This window comes from Homo sapiens, chromosome 1 (genome assembly GCF_000001405.40).
Source record: "Homo sapiens chromosome 1, GRCh38.p14 Primary Assembly".
In the NCBI taxonomy this organism is placed as follows: domain Eukaryota; kingdom Metazoa; phylum Chordata; class Mammalia; order Primates; family Hominidae; genus Homo; species Homo sapiens.
This window is the reverse complement of record NC_000001.11, coordinates 182392639-182406331: the sequence shown is the minus strand read 5'-3', so window position 1 is coordinate 182406331 and position 13693 is coordinate 182392639. Positions and strand designations below refer to the sequence as shown.

The window sequence follows — 13693 nt, the reverse complement described above, 5'->3', positions numbered from 1 at the left end:
TCTCCATTCTCCCACTGGCAAAAAGTGGCCTCCACCCACCAGGGTATAGAGAGATTGGATTTTCCTGATACAATCATGTGTCACTTAATGACGGGGATATGTGCTGAGAAATGTGTCATTAGGTGACTTCATCATTGTGCAAACATCTTAGAGAGTACTTACATAAGCCTAGATGGTATAGCCTCCTACACACCCAGGCTAAAAGGAATAGCCTATTGCTCCTAATCTACAGACCTGTACAGCATGTTACTGTGCTGAATACTGTGAGCAATTGTAACACATGCTAAGTATTTATGTATTTAAACATACCTAAACATAGAAAATATACAGTAAAAATATGGTATAAAAGATTAAGAAAAATAGTATACTTGTATAAGGCACTTACCATGAATGGAGCTTGCAGGACTGGAAGTTGTTCTGGGTGAATCAGTGAGTGGTGAGTGAATGTGAAGGCCTGGGACATTACTGTATGCTTTTATAGGACTGGCAGTGCAGTAGGTTTTTTTATGCCAGCATTACTGTTACAGGACCAACAGGTTCATTTGCCCACTGTGCAGCAACAGATCAATATGCCAAGACAGCAGGGTTTGCAGCAGAGAAAGAGTTTAAGGATTGCAAGGCAGCTGAGTGAGGAGATAGGAGAAACCCTCAAATCTATCTCCCTGAGGAATTTTGGGCTGAAGTTTTAAGGGGATCATGGAGGGCAAGAGGCTGGAAAATTGAGGTAACTGATTGGTTGGGGTAAAGGCGATGAAACCATCAGGATGTTGAGACTGAATTCTTTAGTGAGTCAGTTCTTTGTGGGGTCTTTCGGACTAGCTGACATCAGTAGTTTCACTGATATATAGGACCTGAAAGAATATCTCAAATGAAAAACGTAATGTTTCACAATGCTCAAGTTGTTGCCTATAGAGCAGTTAAGGAGAACTACAATCTAGGCTCTGCATGATTCTGGGGTGATAGACAGCAAAAAACTATGAGGAAGCAGGTCAGAGAGCAAGCTCACCTAATGATTAATGCTGAATGTGCCGCAAGCTTGGTTTATTTTTATTTCTCCCCCTTCCTTCTTCCCTGATTAAATTTATAAAATTTATATGGACGGTTTCATCACCACAAACACGTGAGTAATGTGTTAACCTATGATGTTGGATAGCTATGATGTCACTACATGACAGAAATTTTTCAGCTCCATTATAATCTTATGGGACCATGGTTGAATATGTGGTCCATTATTAGGCAGCACATAATTTTATTAAGTAAGTGTGAGAAATATTTGGATGAGATGGGATTAAGTGGGGACATACTTGGATGGGAGAGAGAGCTCAGAGGCAGTGCTGTGACCTAGGTGTAAACTCTCCTTGTCCCCACTGGGGGTGTCAGCACACAGATGCTGTCTCTTTGCCCTACAGCATTGCTTGTATCATGAGGACAGATGATACAAGATGTGGAGGATCAAAGTTAGCACGGTTTATGTTCTATGATGAACTTCCTCTCCCCTAAGCACACTTATCACCCTCAGAGAAATTCCTATTCCATGTACCCTCTGTAATAAACCCAGAAATATTTGTGTGCCTAGGGATGCCTCACATTCCCTGTACCTTGTTCTCCACACCCTCTAAATGAAGACTTTCACATATTTTGGAAATTTGCCTCTTACCAAATATATGGCATCTTAGTCCATTTCTTGTTGCTTGTAACAGAATACCTGAAACTGAAAAAGAATTTATTTCTTATAGTTGTGGAGACTGGGAAGGCCAACAACAAGGGTCTACATCTGCTGAGTGTCTTCTTGTTGGTGAGGACTCCCTGAAGAGTCCTGAGACAGCACAGGGCATCAAATAATGAGGGAGGTCAGGTCACACGTCCTCTTCTTTTTTTTTTTTTTTGAGACAGAGTCTCACTCTGTCACCCAGACTGGAGTGCAGTGGCACAATCTCGGCTCACTGCAACCTCTGCCTCCCAGGTTCAGGTGATACTCCTGCCTCAGCCTCCCAAGTAGCTGGGACTACAGGCGTGTGCCACCATGCCCGGCTAATTTTTTGTATTTTTAGTAGAGACAGGCTTCACTATGTTGGCCAGGCTGGTCTCGAACTCTGGACCTCAAGTGATCACCCGCCTCAGCCTCCCAAAGTGCTGGGATTACAGGTATGAGCCACCACACCTGACCACCCACTATGTTTCTTATAGGGGTTATGGTTTCAGGTCTTACATTTCAGTTTTTAATCTATTTTGAGTTAATTTTTGTATATGGTATAAGATGAGGGTCCAATTTCATTTTTTTACATGTGAACTTCCAGTTTTCCCTAAGACATTTATTGAAAAGACTATCCTTTCCCCATTGAGTATTCTTAGTTCTCTTGTTGAAGATCAGTTGAACATATATGCATAGGTTTAATTTCTGGGCTCTCTATTCTGTTCCATTGGTCTATGTGTCTGTTTTTATGTCAGACATAAAATGTTTTGATTACTATAGTGTTGGAATATAATTTGAAATCAGAAGTGTGATGCCTCCAACGTGTTCTTCTTTCTCAAGATTGATTTGTCTATTTGGGATATTTTGTGTTTCCATTTGAATTTTAGAATTACTTATTCTACTTCAGTGAAAAATGCCATTGGAATTTTGAGAGAGATTGTATAGAATCTATAGATTGGTTTGAGTGGTATGGACATATTAAACATTTTAATTCTTCCAATCCATGAGTATGGGATATTTTTCCATTTATTTGTGTCTTCTTCTATTTCTTTCTTCAATGTTTTATAATTTTCAGCATACAGATCTTTCGCCTTCTTGGTTAAATGTAGTCCCAACTCAAAACAACAAAACAAATAACCCAGTTTAAAAATGAGTAAAGAACCTGCATTTCTGGACATTTTTCCAAAGAAGACATATAAATGGCCAGTGGGTATGTTAAAATGTGCTCAACATCACCAATCACAGAAAAATGCAAACAAAAATTACAAGGAGATATCACTTCACATCTTAGAAGAGCTATAATAAAAAAGACACAAGATAACGAGTATTTCTGAAGATGTGGAGAGAAGGTAATCCTTGTACAATATGGTGGAAATGTAAATTGGTTCAGCCATTATGAAAAACAGTATGGAAGTTTCTCAAAAAATTAAAAAAGGACTATCATATGATCCAGCAATCCCACTCCTTGGTATATATCCAAATTAAATGAAATCAGTATCTCAAAGAGATATCTGCACTCTTATGTTACAATAATCAAGATACAGAAACAACCTAAGTTGGGGCCAGGTATGGTGGCTCATGCCTGTAATCACAGTACTTTGGGAGGCTGAGGCGGGTGGATCACTTGAGCCCAGATGGATCCACCAACAGATGGATAAGTAAAGAAACATATATATAATGGTATATTATTCAGCCTTAAAAAAGAAGGAGGTCCTGCTGTTTGCAACAATATGGATGAACCTCAGCTGGGCATGGTGGCTCATGGCTGTAATCCCAGCACTTTGAGAGGCCAAGGTGGGTGGATCGCCTGAGGTCAGGAGTTCGAGACCGGCCTGACCAACATGGTGAAACCCCATCTCTACTAAAAATATAGAAAATTTAAGCGGTGTGGTGGCATGCACCTGTAGTCCCGACTATTCGGGAGGCTGAGTCCGGAGAATTGCTTGAACCCAGCAGGCAGAGGTTGCAGTGAGCTGAGATCGTGCCACTGCACTCCAGCCTGGGCAACAGAGACAGACTCAGTCTCAAAACAAAAAACAAACAAACAAAAAATGTGGTACACTTTAAATACAGTAGTCCTCCCTTACCTGCAGTTTCATGTTCTTAGGTTTCAGTTACTCACAGTTAACTGCAGTCTGAAAATATTATAGTATTTTGAGAGAGAGAGAGAGAAATTATATTCACACTTTTATTTCAGCATCATTTTATAATTGTTCTATTTTATTTTGAGTTATTATTGCTAATCTCTTGCTGTGCCTAATTTGTAAACTAAACTTTATTATAGGTATGTATACATGTATGGGGAAACCAGTATATGTAGGGTTCAGTACTAACCTATCCCAGGTTTCAGGCATCCACTGGGAGTCTTAGAAAGTATCACCCATGGATAAGGAGGGGCTATATAGACATTAATTTTTATAAAAAAAATAAATGGGGGCTGCTTTGCCTATAGAGTAGCCATTCTTTTATTCCTTTTTTTCTTAATAAATGTGCTTTCATTTTAAAAAATAAAAAATAATGAATAAATAAATAAATGGGGCCAGGTACGGTGGCTCACGCCTGTAATCCCAGTACTTTGGGAGGCTGAGGTGGGTGGATCACTTGAGCCCAGGAGTTTGAGACCCAGCATGGACAATGTAGTGAGACCTCATCTCTACAAAAAATAGCTGGATGTGGTGGCTCATGTCTGTTGTCCCAGCTACTCAGCAGCTGAGGCAGGAGGATTGATTGAGCTCAGGAGGTTGAGGCTGCAGTGAGCCGTCATCAAGCCACTGCACTGCAACCTGGGCAACAAAGCGAGACACTGTCTAAAAATAAAAATAAAAATAGAAATAAAAATAAATAAATGAAGACTCTTGCCTTGGATGCAACCCCTCATATGCAGCTGGCTGCTACCTAGTGCTTAGAACTCTTTCTGCCTATATGTGTTAGACACATAGTAAATGATAATTAAAGAGAGAATAAAGTTGAGGACCTAATTCACATTAAAATATAAGCAGTTTGTTGGATCTACTTATCTCAACATATCTGCATTTTAATAAAAAATTATACCTTAACATTCCAAAATTGATCTCAAAAGGTGACATTTTACATTCATCTACTGTTCTTTGGAAAGATAATTTGGGGCAATTGAGCTGCTTTCTTTGTGATCCCCAAAAACTGTTACAGAAGAATGAAGAGGACAAGAGCTCAGTATCTATATATATGAGCACACATCCAAACGTTTATAAACTTTTATGTCTAGGAAGAATGTATTTGCTCTCAGTATATGACCCAACATATGAGTAAGGAGTCTTTTTTTTTTTTGAGACAGTCTCGCTCTGTCACCCAGGCTGGAGTGTAGTGAGATGATCCTGGCCCACTGCAACATCCGCCTCCCGGGTTCAAGTAATTCTCCTGCCTCAGCCTTCCAAGTGGCTGGGATTACAGGCACTCTTTACCATGCCCAGCTAGTTTTTGTATTTTTAGTGGAGATGGGATTTCACCATGTTGGCCAGGCTGATCTCGAACTCCTGACCTCGAGATCTGCCTTGGCCTCCCAAAGTGCTGGGATTACAGGCTTGAGCCACCATGCCTGTCCGAGTAAGGAGTCTTAAAGGATGCATTAAGGTTTGTGAGTAACCCGGGTCTTCTCTGGATAATCTCCGTGCTCAGGCACCTCTCTTTTTCTACTCCGAGCATTGAACAGGGGCAGAAGGAAGCAAGCCATGAGAGAGAGGGACAAGTGTAACCAGAAGGTCCTCAAGGGTCCAAAAGCAGAGCTCCTGAGAGCACAAATTCCCACAGGTGCATACTAAAAAATATTTATGTTTCTACTTTGGCAGAACTCAATTAGTTCCCAGTGTACTGGAATGAAATGGAACAATGAGACCCACCTCACTAAAAACCTAGGCTCCTGTCCAGAACTTTCCAGTCTGTGAGAGAGCAGTGGGCAGAAGGAGATGATAAAAGTAGGTAGAACTTAGCTCTGTATATATAGGCCCAGAACTCGAGAGGCCTGTGAGGGAGAGGAGAGCAGAGAGGTCCTGAGTATTGCTCTTCACGCTTCAGTCGGACAGGCCTGTATTCCATGGGAAAGTCCATTGGCCATTTTTAACTGGGGCTATTTCTTTTCTCTTATGGACTATATCAGGCCACAGTGGTCTCCAAGGGCATGATACTCAAAGGTTGTCTCCTGTATCCTTTGTGCTCTCCCAGGAATAAGCAAAGATGTGCCAGGCTGTGGAAAATAGCCTATGGAGGATTACTAAAGATAGTGACTGGCTCCCTCTTAACATTTTATGTGGTTCTCTGTCTTGATGGCGGGATGGTGCTCATGAGGAAGCAAGTGCCATCAAGGTTCATGTACCCCAAAGAGTGGCAGCACCTCACCATGTTCATCCTCCTCACTCTTAATGGCTGTGTGGACTTCATGAGCAAGAATGTGCTGCCTCAGAGGTGTGTGGGCCTAGAAAAAGGTACCCTGGTCCTGATCATCTACGAGCTCCTGCTGCTGATGGTGTCACATGTTAAAGATTCAGAAGGGGTGGAGCTGCACGTTTATTCTCTGCTCATCTTGGTGGTGTTCCTGCTGTTGCTGGTGTTGACTGCAGAGCTGTGGGCTCCCAACATGTGTCATCTCCAGCTGATGGAGACCTTTCTGATTCTGATGATGGGCTCCTGGCTGATGCAGGCAGGCTTTATTCTATACAGACCCGTCTCTGGCTACCCATGGCAGGACGATGACATCAGTGACATCATGTTTGTCACCACCTTCTTCTGCTGGCATGTGATGATCAATGCCTCATTCCTGTTGGGAATCTATGGCTTCTCTTCCTTTTGGTATCATTGTTTCAGACCCAGCTTGAAGCTGACTGGGCCCAAAGAAGCTCCATATTATGCAAGCACTCCAGGACCCCTCTACAAGTTGCTACAGGAAGTGGAGCAGTCAGAGAAAGAGGACCAGGCTCTCCTCCTTCCAAAGAGCTCCCCCTGAGACAGGGCCTACAGTGGCTGGCACATCGTCCACCTCATCTTCCTCCTGTTGGCTCCTCAGCCACGAGCATGGTACCCTCCTTGGTAAAGGTAATGGCCTTGAAGGCTAGCAGTTGGTCCCGTCTGCTGGTTCATTTTCTTTTCTTCTCTTTTCTTTTTTTTTTTTTTTGAGACAGAGTCTCGCTCTGTTGCCCAGCCTGGAGTGCAATGGCACAATCTCAGCTCAGTGCAACCTCCGCCTCCCGAGTTCAAGCGATTCTCCTGCCTCAGCCTCCCGAGTAGCTGCAATTACAGGAGCCTGCCACCATGCCCGTGCTGGTGCATTTTCTGTCCCTGAGCCTCTAATTACTGAGAAGATAAGGGGAGAGGGATTGAGAAAGAGACGCTGATGGGATTTGCGGGAGGGAGGGAAAAGGACGAGGAGAACACTTCTTCTTAGTGTGCAAGAAAAGCCACTGGGGGAAGAGAATGCAACAAAAGGAAGAGCTGTGAAGGGAGGAGAACAGAGTCTAGCAGTTATGCTGTCATTAGCGTCATCAGGCACAAGGGATTGCCTTTTACCTGAGGGAATAAAGACTTCTCACAACTCAAAACTGGACCCATTCAAATCTCATCTTGATAAAGAAAAGTGGGTACTTTACGTGCTCACCAAAGTGGTGCCACCATGTGGAAATAGCATGATAGAATTTATAATTAATTCATACAGGCTGAAATTATGCTCGCTTTGCCTCCTTCTCTCTCCGCAGCTTTCAAGAATTGGCTTCATTTCAAACTTTACATATAAAGTGAGACTTTTTAAATACTTAATAACATTTCAAATTTCCATAATTTAAATTTGTATAGAATTCAACTGCTATAGCATTTTTATAGCATTCAAATGCTTGGTACTTCCCTGACTTCTCATTTTATTACTCTTATTCTAGCCCAAACTTTCCTTTTCACCATGACCACCCTTGCACATGCAATTTAGCAGATACCATTCTTGGGTCTTTGCAAATTTCTTTTCCTTGCAAATCACAGCCAGTCATCCTACAGTCACATATTTACCATGTTATTCGATTCCCAGAATAAACCTACATCCACCCCCACACCGCACCAAGTATCCCCAAGGTGGCCTTCTCCAGAACTCTTACTGATTCCCTTGTTTTGGAACTCTTGGGCACTTACATTAAATCTGCTTTGTTAGTTTGCTCATACAGGTGACCCACTTTCTTTTATACTGCTGCTGAAATCATTTTCTTTCAGAAGGTTCTTCCTCACCCACTAAAGTACAGGCTCCTAAAGGGAAAAGACTTTGCCTTATCCAAGTTACCAAATTTCCTATGTATACTCCAGCTATGGATCATGGTTATGTTTAATAAAGCCTTCTTTGCTTCCAGAGTCTTCCCTAATCCTGTTTCTTCTAAATGTATTGCTGGACAGGTTGGAGGTTTTGTGAATCTCTCTGGGTGACAACAACAGTCCTGAACACTGAGTCACTGCCTTAGTAATGCACCCACTCTCTTCCTTGTTTTGGGGTATAATAAAATCCAGTAACTTGTTTCTGAAGTTGACTCTGTTATTGTTTTTAATCCTCACAAATGTTTCTATAAGGAGTCTCTAGAAAACTGAGACTCCAGCAGGTTGACTTGCCCAAGTCTCACAGTTGGTATGAGGCAACACAGGAATTTAAGTGCAGGTGTGTCTGACGCAAGTGTGACTGTGTCCTCTGGGCCACAGTGACTTTGCTAATGGCAATGGAGAAACAAGTTATCTCAAAATGAAAAAAATGAAATTGTGAAAGAAAGAAGAAAGACGGCTGGGCACTGTGGCTCACGCCTATAATCCCAGCACTTTGCGAGGCCAAGGCGGGCGGATCCCTTGAGGTCAGGAGTTCGAGACCAGCTTGGTCAACATGGTGAAACCCTGTCTCTACTAAATATACAAAAATTAGCTAGGTGTGGTGGCCCACACCTATAATCCCAGATACTTGGGAGGCTAAGGCAGGAGAATCACTTGAACCTGGGAGGCGGAGGTTGCAGTGAGCTGAGATTGCACTACTGCACCCTAGCCTGGGTGACAGAGTGAGACTATGTCTTAAAAAAAAAAGAAAAAAGAAAAGAAGGAAGGAAAGAAAGAAAGAAAGAAAGAAAGAAAGAAAGAAAGAAAGAAAGAAAGAAAGAAAGAAAAGAAAACAAGCCAGAAAGCCCAGGTAAAGCAAACAGCACAGTGTAAACACCCTAGACCTCCCTTAGGAGTGGGTTTATGCAACACTTTCTGTCCCCTACCCTGACCCCCATCTCCCCCGGGGGGTGAGAATCTGGCAGACTCTCAACTTCTGGCTGGGTCTTACATTTCTGGGCTCAGATCCAAAGCAAGAGCTGGGGATAAGACTTGTTTTTGACCAAGGCTTCTAAAGTTTGCCATTTCCCCTTTACTCTTGGTTCCTAGCCTTTTTTCAATTACTTTTCTTTGGGAGCCTTCCTTTTCTCTTTACCTCTCTTACACATTAATGGGAGGTGATGAAAAAGCACAAACACTTAGCTGCCTGTTTCCTGTAATGAGGCTTAATTCTATAACAATAAGCCTCTGGTAATCAAGTGATACCCCCCAACATAATAGCTTTCAAATATTCAGTGTAGGCAATAAGCCTGCATGTTATTAACTTACTAGATTTAAGATGTAACAGAAAGGTCCTCCCACTAAAGGCTACTCAAGAAAAAACTCAAAGCACTCAAGCTTTGGGGGAGTTTGTCATTCTCACAAAATTCCACAAGAGGGCACTAGGTTCACACCACCCCGGCCAAGCTTCTGATTCTCCAACCCCAGTAAACAAGTCTCCGGAGAACGGGTTTAAAAGAAGTGGAAGAGGAGAACGGACAGGAAAAATCCAGAAGCAGACTAAGAATTGCCCAAGCATCCAGAAAACATACCCTAGGGCTGTTTGTTTCCTGTTAAAATTTGGCGAGTCAATGTGAAATAAACAGGGATCCAAATTAACTAATGAGGTGGGAGGGGAGGGAGGAAGGGCTGTGGATCCCATTGAGGATTTCTTTGGGAATGGTACCAACTAAAGCACATACTCTGATCTAAATAATTTTTTGATCAGAATGCTAAATTCTCTAAATTTTTTAATTAGCTTCAATAATGTTCCAATCAATCTACAGAACAACGATCTGTACAGTGTAAATTGAGAATAAAGGACAAAATGTATCTAAAAAAACCCGATTCACAAAACAATGAAACTGGAGGCAGATTATCAGATGTGAAAAATGATCTCCAAAGAGTCCTTCAAAGAGAATCTTTCCTATGGTGTTGTTTTTTTCTGCTAATCTAGTTATTCACAAAGAAAATATATATTGAGTGTCTGCTATACAGAAGTCACTGGGTAAGCATACCCAGGATTGAGAGGTAAATGGTTGCTCCCTGTCCTCTGCACCTCCCTCAGTGAGGACTGTAGGAATTTCAGTATTTTAGAGATGGTGGCCCCGGAACAGATCACCCACAGACCAAAGCGACTAAAGGAAAGGGAACAGAAAAAGAACAGCACCTTGAAAGCTCATTAAGCTCTAAAATACTAACCAAACATGACTTCATCAAGTTACTATGAGTTATCTAAGCCTCAGTTCCTCATCTTTAAGATAGAATGATGTGAAGATCTAATTCTAGAATTGTATGGCTTTAATTTTCTCAATAGGACATTTTCCCCAGGTTGTTAACTAAGATGAACTTGATTCTTCCCAACTTTCCACGTAGTTTCCTGCTAGAGACATGATTCAGGGTAGAGCTCAAACAGACCCAAACCTTCCATCATAACACGCAGTTGGGGAAATGAAGTGTTCCTTGTATTTGACTGATTTCAGCACGCATCCTACAAAACTCAAATCAGGCTACAGATATGGCTGAGACGTGAATTTCCAATTTCCTGTCTTGAACTGAAGAATATCAAACAATCAAAAACTGTAAAGAACAATTCCTCCATTCTTAGTGCTAGTTATTGAACTGAAGTATAATGTAAATGTAGTCTTTCCTTCTCTAATTGTATAAAGTGAAATTTGAAAGCTTGGCCAACTACAGCTTTTCCCTAAATTATGGTTTAAGAATAATGCTATCAACTTCCAGAGCTATTTCTTTTCTTCTTCATTTTTATTATTATTATTTTGATTTGGTTTAAGATTCTACTATGGTCCATTCTTTTGGAAAGAACTGATGTTGGTTTATTACATAATAATAATTTTTAAAAGAATATTTTACAATTCTGGGTTGGGTTTCCAGGGTGTTCCCCAACCCTGAGTCTCAATTGTATCTCTTTAACATGATTTAAAGGTCTCACTGAATGCCTATTGAAATCATTCATACACAGGGAAAACTCCATTTCCTAAACAGAAAAGGTTTGGTCAATGTGAGCCCTACCCTAAATTTTGTGTCTAATGTGTATAAGGCAACCACACAGGCCCTGGGAAGGCACTCCAGATCCCCAGGTAAAGGACTTCATACTTGCAGAGTGAGAATGGATCCTTTAAAAGACAGAGAAAGGGCCGGGCACAGTGGCTCACGCCTGTAATCGCAGCACTTTGGGAGGCCGAGGCAGGCGGATCACAAGGTCAGGAGTTCAAGACAAGTCTGGCCAATATGGTGAAACCTCGTCTCTACTAAAAATACCAAAAAATTAGCTGGGTGTGGTGGCACACGCCTGTAATCCCAGCTCCTTGGGAGGCTGAGGCAGGAGAATTGCTTGAACCCGGGAGGCAGAGGTTACAGTGAGTGGAGGTTGCAGTGAGCCGAGATTGCGCCACTGCATCCAGCCTGAGCAACAGAGTAAGACTCCGTCTCAAAAAAAAAAAAAAAAAAAAAAAAAAAAAAGAGAAAAGTTGTTTCCTAATAGAGATAAGATTTGGGAGTAGAGCAAAATCCTAATACAAAGCTTTTATTTCAGGCAGCAGAACAACATTGAAGAAATACTTTTAATCTCAGGCTATTTCTGCAGATTTGGAACAAAATCTTTCCCTGTAATTGCTCTCCCACTCCACCCACCCCTTGGACATGGCAATTCTACTCTAAGAGAGAAAAATATGACTTCAAAGCACATGCAATGGAACCCCTTGTCAGCACTGATATGGTGTGTACCAAGAAACAGAAAAGTTCATGGGTTCAAGCATTCTAATGCTCTTTTTATGGTGGGGGTGAAGAATGGGGGCGGGTGGCAATTTAGGGAAGAAGGGGAAGGAGAAGAAAGGGCAGCAGACACAGCAAAGTCAAACTGGATGAAACAGGCTGTTTTACTTTTAACTTCTCTAAAAGTACAGTCTGGGTTTCTGCGGGTGAACCAGTTAAGGGTTTTCTTCTGCTTTTACTTCTCGCCTATGCTCAAGCCTCCCTGGTCAGTTCTTGGACTCATCTGCGCCCTAATTTCATCATTTTAAGTAAATGTGGGGCTGGCCAAGGAGGACAAGGCCTCTTGTTCACTCCTGAAAGAGTCAGTGGTCATGTATTATGTTCCTAACCCTTACAAAGCGTGCCCCTGGTCACATGAATGGATCAAAGCAAATCCATTTCCATTCTTGGAAAAGCAGCTCAAAGCACATGTTCTCTTGATGGTGCTGCTGTCACTTCTGTGTGGTTAACAAATATCATTTATTGAACACTCACCGTGGACACTACTGGGGGATATGACAATGAATAAACTGCTCAATGAGGTCAAGACATCTAGGAAGGGAAGCAGGCACTCAAATGGCAGAAATACCATAAGCCTGCAGAACCGCACTCACGCCTTACCATTCCGTTCTCTGTTATGTTTGTCATCCCCACCTCAGGGGCTGGTGGTGTGTGCAGCAGAGGCTCTGGCTTATGGTTCGGTAGTTTGGTATCTGGAAATGATTAATAACATCTTTTAAAATAAAAATATCACTTTTCTCCTCCTTTGCTCCCCTTCCTCGACCATTTAAACTCAAACCTTTACAGAAAGAGATGAAGACAGCTCACTGTGTTACCAAGGTTAAGTCCAGTTTGATATAATGAATGGTAAAGCATTACACTGAGTCAGAAAAGTTGTATTCAAAAGTCGCTATGGGGAAAGAAAGAATCCAATCACCTCAGATTATAGAACTTGGCCTATGATAATTATAATTGCTGTTTTCTAAACATTTACGATGCACCAAGGACTACTCAATCTCTTCTGCATGTGCTATCACAATTAATCCTTTTATGAGGTAAAAATGATTATCCCTCTTTTATTATAGACAAAGAAACAGGCTTCATGTGGCTAAGTGATTTGGCCAACACAAAGCTGGTATGAAGGGAAAGCCCAGATTTGAACCTAGGTTTACCTGACTTGCAGCCGTGCCTTTAGCCACCACAATGTAATGCTTCAAGGGGCAGCACTGAAATTTAACAAGGAATTTGTAAGGCACCTTACCCAATCCAAAATGTCACCAGTCTGAAACATCCCAAAAAACCCTGTTTGAGATGAATGCTGCATCTGTCATGTAAAAGCACTACAGTGTTATACACTCTTAAAGGAAAGGGATGTTGACCAAAGAAGCCAAGTTATGTGTGTGTGGTTGCAGGCAACATTTCTTTTCCACATTTGCGGTACAAAACATAACCAGAACAAACTTCTTCCCTTCCTCTTCCAAAGGCACTGGAAGCATAAATTCTTGCTCTTTAAACTGAAAGAAGCAATAAAATCTGGACACCATCAGGTAGATTTCAGGCACTAAAAATAGAATGATCGAGTAATAGTACGGATAGCAGTATCTACCTACCTACCTACCTACCTACCTATGTTGTGTCTCTAGGTACATTTCAATATTGTGTTCACATACACATTTTCCCAACCATCACGGCAAGCTGAGAGGAGAGGTATGTATTCCCATTTTCCAGATTAACAAGAAGCCGCACTTGATAAAGCAAAATCAGGGAGAATTCGTTAAAGGAATTTCTTGACAATCCCTGGACTTCAAAGGGGGCAAGTGAACACCTCGATTTCCTTTCAGCTGCTCCGGGGGCAGTTTGCACACAGAATTTCAAATCTAGTGGGCGGCTCCA

The 13693-nt window shown here is 41.8% G+C and overlaps 1 protein-coding gene across 1 annotated transcript, besides 1 other annotated feature; it reads left to right on the top strand.

The window, feature by feature from the left end:
• Positions 2003-2184: a silencer, noted in NCBI's record as "fragment chr1:182373283-182373464 (GRCh37/hg19 assembly coordinates)". NCBI's record gives its function as "represses an EF-1alpha promoter that drives an FKBP-Casp9 reporter gene in an ReSE screen in K562 erythroleukemia cells {active_cell/tissue: K562}" and the evidence as "EXISTENCE:reporter gene assay evidence [ECO:0000049][PMID:32094911]".
• On the top strand, positions 5665-8215 carry TEDDM1 (transmembrane epididymal protein 1). The gene has a single exon (NM_172000.4). The coding sequence runs from the start codon at positions 5847-5849 to the stop codon at positions 6666-6668; it is 822 nt and encodes a 273-aa protein (NP_741997.3). The 5' UTR covers positions 5665-5846; the 3' UTR covers positions 6669-8215.

Coding starts and splice junctions, on each gene's coding strand:
- TEDDM1 (NM_172000.4), top strand. CDS start 5,847: ATGATACTCAAAGGTTGTCTCCTGTATCCTTTGTGCTCTCCCAGGAAT.